At 46.3% G+C, this 12,605-nt stretch overlaps 1 protein-coding gene and 1 pseudogene across 6 annotated transcripts in view, besides 4 other annotated features; one reads left to right on the top strand and one right to left on the bottom strand.

Moving 5' to 3' along the window:
- The window catches only part of SLC2A14 (solute carrier family 2 member 14), a 78,683-nt gene that overhangs the window by 24,167 nt on the left and 41,911 nt on the right, over positions 1–12,605 (top strand). For 2 of the 6 annotated variants that reach the window (NM_153449.4, NM_001286233.2), the window contains one exon: positions 3,573–3,661. The exons of the other annotated variants lie outside the window; for them this stretch is intronic. In NM_153449.4, the coding sequence (NP_703150.1) occupies positions 3,575–3,661 (87 nt within the window). In that variant the 5' untranslated portion in view covers positions 3,573–3,574. The remainder of the gene's footprint in view (positions 1–3,572; positions 3,662–12,605) is intronic. 6 annotated transcript variants of the gene reach the window in all.
- Positions 2,900–3,401: an enhancer, noted in NCBI's record as "H3K27ac hESC enhancer chr12:8016225-8016726 (GRCh37/hg19 assembly coordinates)". NCBI's record gives its function as "activates a minimal SCP1, AML or CMV promoter by ChIP-STARR-seq in primed H9 embryonic stem cells {active_cell/tissue: H9 hESC(primed)}" and the evidence as "EXISTENCE:reporter gene assay evidence [ECO:0000049][PMID:30033119]".
- Positions 4,090–4,290: a silencer, noted in NCBI's record as "peak1563 fragment used in MPRA reporter construct". NCBI's record gives its function as "represses an SCP1 promoter by STARR-seq MPRAs in K562 erythroleukemia cells {active_cell/tissue: K562}" and the evidence as "EXISTENCE:reporter gene assay evidence [ECO:0000049][PMID:32103011]".
- Positions 5,647–6,441: an enhancer, noted in NCBI's record as "OCT4-NANOG-H3K27ac-H3K4me1 hESC enhancer chr12:8013185-8013979 (GRCh37/hg19 assembly coordinates)". NCBI's record gives its function as "activates a minimal SCP1, AML or CMV promoter by ChIP-STARR-seq in primed H9 embryonic stem cells {active_cell/tissue: H9 hESC(primed)}" and the evidence as "EXISTENCE:reporter gene assay evidence [ECO:0000049][PMID:30033119]".
- On the bottom strand, positions 6,266–6,581 carry RPS20P29 (ribosomal protein S20 pseudogene 29; annotated as a pseudogene).
- Positions 6,442–7,237: an enhancer, noted in NCBI's record as "OCT4-NANOG-H3K27ac-H3K4me1 hESC enhancer chr12:8012389-8013184 (GRCh37/hg19 assembly coordinates)". NCBI's record gives its function as "activates a minimal SCP1, AML or CMV promoter by ChIP-STARR-seq in primed H9 embryonic stem cells {active_cell/tissue: H9 hESC(primed)}" and the evidence as "EXISTENCE:reporter gene assay evidence [ECO:0000049][PMID:30033119]".

The following is a 12,605-nucleotide window of genomic DNA, read 5'->3' as shown; positions in this document are numbered from 1 at the left end:
GGGATTACAGGCGTGAGCCGAGATTGAGCAATTGCACTCCAGCATGGGCGACAAAAGTGAAACTCTGTCTCAAAAAAAAAAAAAACCATGAAAGTCCTAGATGGCATCTTCCTCCAATGTAAGGCTTTTTCATCTACACTGAAAATCTGTTGTATAGTGTTGCCACTTTTATCAATTATCTTAGCTAAATCTGGATAACTAGTTGTAGCTTCTGTATCAGCACTTGCTGCTTCACCTACCTTGTACTTTTAAGTTATAGGGACAGCTTCTTTCCTTAAACCTCATGAACCAACTTCTGCTACCTTCTAACATTTCTTCTACAGCTTCCTCACCTTTCTCAGCCTTCATAAAATGAAAGAAAGTTGGCTGGGCCCAGTAGCTTATGCCTGTAATCCCAGCACTTTGGGAGGCTGAGGCGGGTGGATCACCTGAGGCCAGGATTTCTAGATCAGCCTGGCCAACATAGTGAAACCCTGTCTCTACTAAAAAATATAAAAATTAGCTGGGCGTGGTGGCAGGCGCCTATAGTTCCAGCTACTTGGGAGGCTGAGGCAGGACAATAGCTTGAACCCAGGAGGTGGAGGTTGCAGTGAGCTGAGATCATGCCACTGCACTCACTCCAGCCTAGGCGACAGAGCAAGACTCCATCTCAAAGTAAAAAGAAAAAATTAAAGAAAGTTAGGGCCTTGCTCTGGATTAGGCTTTGGCTTAAGAAAATGTTTAGTGGTCTATCTAGACCACTAAAACTTTCTCCATATCAGCAATACATCTGTTTCACTTTCTTTTCTTTTTTTTTTTTTTTTTTGAGACAGAGTCTTGGTCTGTCACCCAGGCTGGAGTGCAGTGGTGCAATCTCAGCTCACTGCAGCCTCTGCCCACTGGGTTCCAGCGATTCTCCTGCCACAGCCTCCTGGGTAGCTGGGATTAGCTGGGTACAAGCGCACGCCACCATGCCTGGCTAATTTTTGTATTTTTGGTAGAGACAGGGTTTTGCCATGTTGGCCAGGATGGTCTCGAACTCCTGACCTCAGATGATCCACCCGCCTCGGCCTCCCAAAGTGTTGGGATTACAGGCGTGAGCTACCATGCCCGGCCCCTGTCACACTTTCAGTGTGTTCACTGGAGTAGCACTTTTAATTTTCCTCAAGAACTTTTCCTTGGTATTTATAGCTTGGCTAACTGTTTGGTGCAACAGGCCTTGCTTTTGGCTTCTCTTGGCTTTTGACATGCCTTTATCACTAATCTTAATCATTTCTAGCTTTTGATTTAAAGTGAGATATGTTTGACTCTTTCACTTGAATTCTTAGATGCCATTTAGGGTTTTTAATTGGCCTAATTTTCAATATTATTGTCTCAGGAAATAGGGAGGCCTGAGAAGAGAGAGAAGGAGAGAGAAATGGGGAATGGCCAGTTAGTGGAGCAGTCAGAATGCATACAGTATTTATTAATTAGATTTATTGTCTTTTTTTATTTTTATTTTCATTTTTTTTTTTGAGACAGAGTCTCACTCTGCCGCCCAGGCTGGAGTGCAGTGGCACGATCTCGGCTCACTGTAACCTCCGCCTCCCAGGTTCAAGAGATTCTCCTGCTTCAGCCTCCCGAGTAGCTGGGACTACAGGCATGTGCCACCACGCCCGGCGAATATTTTGTGTTTTTAGTAGAGATGGGGTTCCACCATGTTAGCCAGGATGGTCTCGATCTCCTGACCTCGTGATCCGCCCACCTTGGCCTCCCAAAGTGCTGGGATTACAGGTGGGAGCCACCGTGCCCAGCCTGCCTGGCTAATTTTTGTATATTCATTGTCTTATATAGGTATGGTTCATGCCAAAACAATGACAATAGTAATATCAAAGATCACTGATCACAGATCACTATAACAGATATAATAATAACGAAATGTTTGAAATATTACAAGAATTACCAGAATGTGGCACAGAGACTCAAAGTGAGCTCATGCTGTTGGAAAAATGAGGCCAATAGACTTGCTTAACATAGGATTGCCACAAACCTTCAATTTGTAAAAAAGCGCAATAGGAGCAAAATGCAATAAAGCGAGATATACCTGTAGTGTGGTCAGGGAAGGCCTCTTTACGGTAAATTTGAGCAGAAACCAGAGTGACATAAAGAGCCGGCCATGAGGAGATCTGAAGAAAGAGTGTTTCAGATAGAGGGAAAGGCATATGAAAATACCCTAAGAGTATGGAGGCTTATCTGATTAGAGCCTGGGTCGGCTGACTCTTTTTGTGCAGATAGAGGCTTTGTGGGCCATAGCGGCTCAGTCACCACTACAGCTACTCAGTTCCAACGTCATAGCATTTAAGCAGCCACGTTCATTACATAAACAAGTGAGCATGCCTGTGTTATAGTAAAAGAGACTTAACAGTAAAAGCTCAGCCGGGCACGGTGGCTCACGCCTGTAATCCCAACACTTTGGGAGGCCGAGGCCGGCGGATGATGAGGTCCGGAGATCGAGACCATCCTGGCTAACATGGTGAAACCCCGTCTCTACTAAAAATACAAAAAATTAGCCAGGCATGGTGGTGCGCACCTGCAGTCCCAGCTAGTTGGAAGGCTGAGGCAGGAGAATGGCTTCAATCCGGGAGGCGGAGGTTGCAGTGAGCTGAGATTGCACCACTGCACTCAGCCTGGGCGACAGAGCGAGACTCCATCTCAAACAACAATAACAACAACAACAAAAGACGTTAAAAGCTCAAACCACAAGAGGAAAAATTGATAAATTTGGGCTTATCAAAATGAAAAGCTTTTGCTCTGCAAAAGGCCCCATGTATATGGTGAAAAGATAGGCTACATTCAGAGAAGATATTTGCAAACCACATATCCCAAAGGATTTGTTTCTAGAGAATGTAAAGCACTCTCAAAATTCAGCAGTAAGCTGTAATCAAAACAATGTGGTGGCCGGGCGCGGGGGCTGACACCTGTAATCCCAGCACTTTGTGAGGCCGAGGCGTGCAGATCACGAGGTTAGGAGATCAAGACCATCCTGGCTACCACAGTGAAACCCTGGCTCTACTAAAAAACACAAAAAATTAGCCAGGCATGGTGGCACATGCCTGTAGTGCCAGCTACTCGGGAGGCTGACGCGGGAGAATCGCTTGAACCCGGGTGGTGGAGGTTGCAGTGAGCCAAGATCATGCCACTGCACCCCAGCCTGGGCAACAGTGAGACTCCGTCTCAAAAAAAAAAAAGAAAAAAAGAAAAAAAAGGAAGATGGTTGATATAGGGAGATAAGTTTTCATCTGAAATAAAAGGAAGTTAGGCTTTTGGCTTCCAAAGCCAAAAGATGTGGCTCACAGGTTTCTCCATAAACAGTATGTTTGTCATTTAGTTTATATGTCAATGAATTGAATGAGCTATGTCCGTATTCCAAGGTTTATTTTTTATTTTTTTTTAAGATGGAGTCACTCTGTCACCCAGGCGGGAGTGCAGTGGCACAATCTCAGCTCACTGCAACCTCTGTGTCCTGGGTTCATTCTCCTGCCTCAGCCTCCCAGGTAGCTGGGACTACAGGCATGCACCAGCACACCCAGCTAATTTTTTTGTATTTTTAATAGAGATGGAGTTTCACAATGGTGGCCATGTGTCTGGAATTGGTGGGTTCTTGGTCTCACTGACTTCAAGAATGAAGCCGCACACCCTCGCAGTGAGTGTTACAGCCCTTAAAGTGGTGCGTCTGGAGTCCCTCCCTTCTGATGTTCAGATGCGTTCGGAGTGTTTTCCTTCTGGTGGGTTCGTGGTCTTGCTGGCTCAGGAGTGAAGCTGCAGACTTCCGCCGTGAGTGTCGCAGCTCTTAAGGCAGCGCGTCAGGAGTCGTTCGTTCCTTCCGGTGGCCTCGTAGTCTCGCTGGGCTCAAAAATGAAGCTGCAGACCTTTGCGGTGAGAGTTACAGCTCATAAAAGCAACGTGGACATAAAAAGTGAGCAGTAGCAAGATTTATTGCAAAGAGTGAAACAACAAAGCTTCAACAGTTTGAAAGGACACCCAAGCTGGTTGCCAATGCGGGCTTGGGCAGCCTGCTTTTATTCTCTTATCTGGCCCCACCCACATCCTGCTGATTGGTAGAGCCGAGTGGCCTGTTTTGTCAGGGGGCTGATTGGTGCGTTTACAATCCCTGAGCCAGATACAAATGTTCTCCACGTGCCCATCAGATTAGTTAGATACAGAGTTTCCACACACAGATTCTCCAAGGCCCCACCAGAGCAGCTAGATAAAGAGTGTCAATTGGTGCACTCACAAACCTTGAGCTAAACACAGGGTGCTGACTGGTGTATTTACAAACCTTGAGCTAGATACAGAGTGCCGATTGGTGTATTTACAATCCCTGAGCTAGACATAAAGGTTCTCCAAGTGCCCACCAGACTCAGGAGCCCAGCTGGCTTCACCTAGTGGATCACGCACCGGTGCTGCAGGTGGAGCTGCCTGCCAGTCCCGCGCCATGTGCTCGCATTCCTTAGCTCTTGGGTGGTCGATGGGACTGGGCGCCGTGGAGCAGGGGGCGGCATTCGTCGGGGAGGCTCGTCCGCACAGGAGGCCACAGAGGGGGTGGGAAGGCTCAGGCATGGCGGGCTGCAGGTCCCGAGCCCTGCCCCGTGGGAAGGCAGCTAAGGCCCGGCGAGAAATCGAGCGCAGCGCCGGTGGGCTGGCACTGCTGGGGGACCCTGTCTCGGCCTTCCAAAGTGCTGGTATTACAGACATGTGCCACCGCATGCAGTTTGGTGTCTTCTTTTTTTTTTTTTTTTTTTTTTTTGAGAGACAAGTCTGGCTCTGTAGCCCAGGCTGGAGTGCAGTGGCGTGATCTCGGCTCACTGCAACCTCCGCCTCCTGGGTTCAAGCAATTCTGCTGCCTCAGCCACCTGAGTAGCTGGGATTACAGGCATGCGCGACCATGCCCAGATAATTTTTGTATTTTTAGTAGAGACGGGGTTTCACCATGTTGGTCAAGCTGGTCTCAAACTCCTCACCTCGTGATCCACCTGACTTGGCCTCCCAAAGTGCTGGGATTGCAGACCTGAGTCACCACACTGGCCTTTGTTTTTGTTTTTTTTTTTTTGAAATGGAGTCTCGCTCTGTCGCCCAGGCTGGAGTGCAGTGGCGTAATCTCAGCTCATTGCAACCTCTGCCTCCCGGGTTCCAGCATTTCTCCTGCGTCAGCCTCCCGAGTAGGTGGGATTGCAGGTGTGCGCCACCATACCTGGCTAATTTTTGTATTTTTAGTATAGATGGGGATTCACCATGTTGGCCAGGCTGGTCTGGAATTCCTGACCTCAGGAGATCTGCTGCCTCAGCCCCTCAAAGTGCTGGGATTACAAGGGTGAGCCTCCGCGCATGGCCTGTTTTTTTTCAGTTAAAGTTTACAAAGCTTTTATGTATGGTTTGTATGGTTTTCGGGACAAGTGAAGGGCTGAAACTTAGTTGTGCGGTTTTGTGGGATAAGTAGAGGCTGAAATACAGCCTGCAATCCACTGGCCAGGCTCTCCTCCTCATCCAGAGGAAGGGGCACATTTTTTCTTTACACAAGAGTACCGTTCCTAGAAAACCTGCTTTTTCCCAAAAGGGCACCTTTGCCTAATTTGCACAAAAGCAATGGAAAAGCTAGCAGTGGTACTGAAAGCATGTATACCAGATAATAGACAGCAGAAATTAATCCCTGGAAGCTACTTAAACATAAAAAAATTTTCTTAGATGTCAACTTAAAAATGTGTAGGGGAAATACATAGTTTTTGAAAATTATTATGGGGAATAAACAAGCCTCCCCCCCACCAAAAAAAAGACTATTGCTCCAAACTCTCTTCCAATGTTGCTCTGGTGCCTTTTCCTCACCTTGCACTACAGATCTTCACATCTCCCCTCTCTCTTTGGTTCTTCCTTTTGGCTGCTTCTTTCTTTAAACAACTGATAATTAATTTATGAAAACAGTTGATGCCGGGCGAGGTGGCTCACGCCTGTAATCCCAGCACTTTGAGAGACCGAGGTGGGTGGATCACTTGTGGTCTGGAGTTTGAGACCAGCCCGACCAACATGGAGAAACCCCGTCTCTACTAAAAATAAAAAATTAGCTGGGCATGGTGGTGCATGCCTCTAATCCTAGCTACTCGGGAGGCTGAGGCAGGAGAATCGCTTGAACCCAGGAGGCAGAGGTTGCAGTGAGCTGAGATTGCGCCATTGCACTTCAGCCTGGGCCACAAGAGTGAAACTCTGTCTCAGGAAAAAAAAAAAAAGTTGACAAGTAAGTGCAGTGGGGAGCAGCCTCAATTCCTGACTCAATACTGATGGAAACAATCTGTTTAACAACCTCAGAAGGACTGTGTGAGGCAGTGAGTCATCTGTGGATTCTCATCTGGAAATGATCCCAAATCCCAGAACCCTCACCATAAGGCGTTTTTCTTGCAGTGATTTATGGAGTCTTGGCATTCCAACTGGTCCTTCATGCTGGGATTCTTTTCCTTTGTGCCTCTGATCCAATCAGCGCACACCTTCTCCAAGGATTTCCCGCTGTGGCTGGTTGGGGTAATCCTCATTCAGTGAATTATCACCTCTGGTTCCAAGAGTGTATTTCCGGAGTTTTGTAAAGCCTAGGGCAGCGTGGCTATCCTGACCAACTAGTTCCTAAAGGAATGGCCAGGAGGACATGGCTGTCCCTCCAAGAGCCCCCTACTACTTTTTAGACCTCATTATACTCTCGCCCTGAGGCAATTTCCTTTCCTTTTATCTTCTGCCTGATATTTTCCCTAAATGTTCCCAAATTTATCCTCTTCTCTGAGGGCTTTGCTTCTTCAGGCCTAACTAAATACACAATCCACAAGCCACTGATCTCACCTCAGCTGTACCTGTGCTAATTCTCACTTCCAGTTTTTCTCCAGGGCCAGTACTGGGAGGGATGGCGCAAAGATATACACTGCCACCTGGTGGCCAACTGCTAACCAGCTCTGGTAATACCAAGGATGTTACTAGCACCACAGCAACGGGCTCTGGAGGCGGATTTGCAAAAGCACCAGGCGTGGGTGGAGCAGTGTCAGCTCTTTGGTTGGTAATAGCATCTCTCTGCCTGGAATTATCTTTCCAAGTCTATTTCTCTCAAAATTCTTTTCATCTTTCAAGGTCCATATAAATGCCACGTTTCCCATGATCCCCTTCTTGATCTTTCAAGTTAGAGGATCTCACTTCTCTGAAAGTACTACAGGGTAGGTTCAGCATTTCGTTTGTAACTCTTATGATGCTGCTCTTTGCCTACTTCAAACTGTTGCTAATCCCTTAAAAACTCAGCTTCTTTTCAGTGCATGCCATCAGGATATTGTAATAATCTACTGAACTCCTGGGTCACTTCCCCCACATTCTCTGAAAATTTAGAAGCCTGATTCATTCTCTTGGTTTTCACCATTCCTACTGTCATCAGTCCTGGCTATTCCATGATGTATGGAGACAACTGGCCCTCAGTTTCTTGTCCACTCATTTCCAATCATCTTGTTTTCCAGTCCACCTCAGTCATTTATTCCCATGGTTAATACCCTAGCCCTGGTCATGTATAATAAATGGGCTCCTTGCAAAACCTGTATATTTTGCACCTCACATTGACTATCACTTCCTTTCCAAAATTTATTTCCTTTTTTTTTTTATTTTTTGAGACAGCGGAGTCTTGCTCTGTCACCCAGGTTGGAGTGCAGTGGCACCATCTTGGCTCATCGCAACCACTGCCTCCTGGGTTCAAGTGATTCTCCTGCCTCAGCCTCCTGAGTAGCTGGGATTACAGGCATGCGCCACTACGCCTAGCTAACTTTTTGTATTTTTAGTACAGACAGGGTTTCACCGTGTTCGTCAGGCTGATCTCCAACTCCTGACCTCAGGTGATCCGCCCTCCTCAGCCTTTCAAAGTGCTGGGATTACAGGCACCAGCCATCACGCCCAGCCTGTTCAACTGATTTTTGACAAGGGTGCCAAGATTATTCAATGGGGGAAAGAATAGTCTTTTCAACAAATGGTGAAGGGAGAAGAGGATAACTGTATGCCAAAAAATGCAACTGGACCTTTACCTCATACTGTATACAAAAATTAACTCAGAATGGATGAAAGTGCTACAACCATAAAACTCTTAGAAGAAAACATAAATGTTAATGTTTGTGATCTTGGATTGGGTAATGATTTCTTAGCTATGACAACAAAAGCATGAGCAAATGAAAAACTGGGTATATTGGATATATTCAAAATTTAAAATTTGGGGCTGGGCAGGGTGGTTCACGCCTGTAATCCCAGCACTTTGGGAGGCTGAGGCAGGCAGATCACCTGAGGTTGGGAGTTTGAGATCAGCCTGACCAACATGGAGAAACTCCATCTCTACTAAAAATACAAAATTAGCAGGGTGTGGTGGCACATGCCTGGAATCCCAGCTACTCGGGAGGCTGAGGCAGGAGAATCGCTTGAACCCGGGAGGCGGAAGTTGTGGTGAGCTGAGGTCATGCCATTGCACTCCAGCCTTGGCAATAGGAGCGAAACTCCATCTCAAAAAGAAAAAGAAAAGAAAATTAAAATTTTTGTGTTTCAAAGGATACCCAAGAAAGTGAAAAGACAACCCACAGAATGGGAGACAATTATAGCAAATCATGTGTATGATAAGGGGCTTGTATCTAGAATATGTAAAGTCCTTTTACAACTCAGTAATAAAATACAACCCATTTATATGAACAAGGAGAGAATGATAGGTTTTGTCAGATGTTGAGTGGTTGAGTAAGAAGGCTCGAGAATTGACCATTGGATTTCATAAGATAGTGTTTGTTGATGACTGACAGGAATGGTTCAAATAGAGAAATGGGGCAAATGCCTTACTGGTATAGGTTCAATAGGGAATTATTTAAGGAAATGGAGAAATTTTGTTTTTGTTTTTTTTCAGATAAGAGTTTTGCTGTGTCACCCAGGCTGGAGTGCAGTGGCACGATCTCGGCTCATTCCAGCCTCCACTTCCTGGGCTCAAACAGTACTTATTGCCTCAGCCTCCCAAGTGGTGGGATTAAAGGTGCAAGCCACCACACCAGGCTAATTTTAATTTTTTTGTTGTTTTTAGTAAAGACGGGGTTTCACCATGTTGGCCAGGTTGGTCTCAACCTCCTGGCCTCAAGTGATCCTCCTGCCTTGGCCTCCCAAAGTGTTCATGTCACCATGCCTGGCCTGGAATTTTGCTTTAAAAAGGACCATATGGGCCAGGCCCAGCAGCACCTGCCTGTAATCCCAGCTACTTGGGAAGCTGAGGCAGGAGAATTGCTTGAGCCCAGGAGTTCAAGACCAGCCTGGGCAACATAGGGAGACTCTCTGTCAAAAATAAATAAAAGGGAGCGCAGATATAGGGTACTGTTCTATCCTCTCAAGCTGAAGGTAAGATCAAGAGAACTATTTAATTTTTAGAAAGGAATATATGTGTTTGTTTTGTTTTGTTTTGAGATGGAGTTTCACTCTTGTTGCCCAGGCTGGAGTGCAATGGCGCGATCTTGGCTCGCTGCAACCTTTACCTCCCAGCTTCAAGTGATTCTCCTACCTCAGCCTCCCAGGTAGCTGGGATTACAGGTGTGCACCACTGCGCTCGGGTAATTTTGTATTTTTAATAGAGACGGGGTTTCACCATTTTGGTCAGGCCGGTCTCAAACTTCTGACCTCAAGTCATCCACCCACCTTGGCCTCCCAAAATGCTAGGATTACAGGCGTGAGCCACCGTGCCTGGCCTATATGTGTTTTATGAATGGTTTTTGTTTATGTTTTTTGTTTGTTTGTTTGTTTTTTGAGACGGATTCTTGCTCTGTCACCCAGGCTGGAGTATAGTAGCAAGATTTCGGCTCACTGCAACCTCCACCTCCTGGGTTTGAGCGATTCTCCTGCCTCAGCCTCCCGAGTAGCTGGAACTACAGGCACGTGCCACCACACCCAGCTAATTTTTGTATTTTTAGTAGAGATGGGGTTTCACCATGTTGGCCAAGATGGTCTCAATCTCTTGACCTCGTGATCCGCCCGCCTTGGCCTCCCAAAGTGCTGGGATTACAGGCGTGAGCCACCGTGCCTGGCCCAACCATCTTCTTAATTCTAAGACAAATATACTCTGGAAATTAGGGTTTGTTTACCAATTGATCCTTCTAAAACTTTGCATTCCAACCTGAGCGACAGGGCGAGACTCTGTCTCAAAAAAAAAAAAAAAATTAGCATTCATTAATACCCACTTCAAAGGCTTGTTAATACAGATTTCCTGATCCCACTCTGCTGAAATTGTGACTCAGCAGGCCTGGGGTGGAGCCGAGAATTTGTATGTCTAACAGCCTCCCTGAAGATACTGATGTCATTCATCCATGGATAATCACACTTGGATAAAGTAGGGTGGTGCTCCGTTTAATCATCTCCATCGATGCCGTCAATAGTGCTCTTCCTCAGCAGCTATGCACTCTTAAATTGTGCATCTTGCACCACAGTAAAAGTTTAACATGGGTTAGAGATAGCTTTTCTTTTGCAAAGTAGAAGAAAGTAGCGAAAAGTAGAAAAGAAAAATGAGCAAACCACACACATTAGTTTTTGAGACAGGATCTTGCTATGTTGTTCTGGCTGGAGTGCAATAACTGGCTATTCACAGGCGCCATCCCACTGCGGATCAGCACGGGACTTATATGGGCCATGCTCTGTGGAGAAGCTAGTTCACTTCTCCTTAGGTAACTTTGTGGTCCCCCGCTCGTGGGAGATTATCATACTGATGCCAAACTTAGTGTCAACACCTGATGTGCAAAGCACACTTCAGCCCAGAACTGCTGGCCTCAAGTGATCCTCTCGCCTAAGCCTCCCAACTACCTGGGATTATAGGCACGCACCACTACGACTGGGCAGGCACATTCTTAAGAAAACCAGTTTTAGGAAACAAAACCCATGAAAGCTGAAGTTTTGGAAAATGACTTTGTTAAATACGTGTAATCAACTTAGTCAGAATTTTACATGTCTGGTTTTGCATTAAAAATATAAAAATTTTTACAATATGATATGGCTAATTATAATTATAAAATGATTTTTTAAAAGTCTACTTCATGTTGTGAGGCTGGTGCATTGAGAGGGAGCTTTTGTAAGCCAGGCGCGGTGGCTCACACCTGTAATCCCAGCACTTTGGGAGGCTGAGGCGGGCAGATCACGAGGTCAGGAGATCAAGACCATCCTGGCTAACATGGTGAAACCCCGTTTCTACTAAAAATACAAAAATTAGCCGGGCTGGTGGAGTGAGCCTGTAATCCCAGCTACTCAGGAGGCTGAGACAGGAGAATCATTTCAACCTGGGAGGCGGAGGTTGCAGTGAGCTGAAGCCGTGCAACTGCACTCCAGCCTGGGCATCAGAGTGAGACCCTGTCTCAACAAAAACAAAGAAAAAGAAAAAAAAAGGAGCATTTGTGGAAGAAGCAGTGGTACATGTGTAAACGTTTCGGGTAAGGGTGGCATCACACTGGTTGAGGAGAACAGGCAGCTGCAGGGGTAGTAATGGCCTGTTTAGATTTCTTCTTAAGCTCCCAACTTTGCTGATACAGCCATTTGGGGAGCAAGGGGGTGGTCATCAAAAAACAAACAGAGAGTTGGGCGCAGTGGCTCATGCTTGTAATCCCAGCACTTTTGGAGGCTGAGGCAGGAAGATGGCTTGAGCTCAGGAGTTTGAGACCAGTCTATGGGCAACATAGGGAGACCCCATCTCCAAGAAATAAAAATGAAAACAAATAGAGGAAGCATGCTTTTGTTTTACCTGCCCTCCCTGAAAAGAAATTGAAATTGACATAACTGTCTTAAGAGGATGTAAAGATGGAATGCCTAATGTCCAGAGTGGGAATCAAGGGGTTACTCTGGGAAGTGATGAAGACTGGACAGATGATGCTCATTGATTTCCCAAGCTATATATAAAGTGCGATACCTGGCTGGATGCGGTGGCTCATGCCTGTAATCCCAGCCCTTTGGGAGGCCGAGGTGGGTGGATCACGAGGTCAGGAGTTCAAGACCAGCCTCGCCAACATGGTGAAACCCTGTTTCTACTAAAAATACAAAAATTAGCTGGTCGTGGTGGCAGACACCCGTTATCCCAGCTACTCGGGAGGCTGAGGCAGAGAATTGCTTGAACACGGGAGGCGGAGGTTGCATTGAGCTGAGATCGCGCCACTACACTCCAGACTGGGTGACAGAGCGAGACTCCATCTCAAAAAATAAAAAATAAAATAATAAAGTGAGATGCCTGTAATCCCAGAATTTCGGGAGGTCGAGGTGGGCAGATCAGCTGAGGCCAGGAGTTTGAGACCAGCCTGACCAACATGGAGAAACCCCATCTTTACTAAAAATACAAAATTAGCCGGGTGTGGTGGTACATGCCTGTAATCCCAGCTACTCAGGAGGCTGAGGCAGGAGAATTGTTTGAACCCGGGAGGCGGAGGTTGCCATGAGCCGAGATCGCACTCCATTGTGAGCCATTGCACTCGTGGGCCATTGCACTCCAGCCTGGGCAACCAGAGTGAAACTCCATCTCAAAAAGCAAACAAACAAACAAAAAACAAAAGAAAAGAGAGGAATCAGTGAGACTCATTAGGAGACTACTTCAGTAGATCAAG

Source organism: Homo sapiens, chromosome 12 (assembly GCF_000001405.40).
Source record: "Homo sapiens chromosome 12, GRCh38.p14 Primary Assembly".
Taxonomy (NCBI): Eukaryota; Metazoa; Chordata; class Mammalia; order Primates; family Hominidae; genus Homo; species Homo sapiens.
This window is presented reverse-complemented; position numbering and strand designations above follow the sequence as displayed.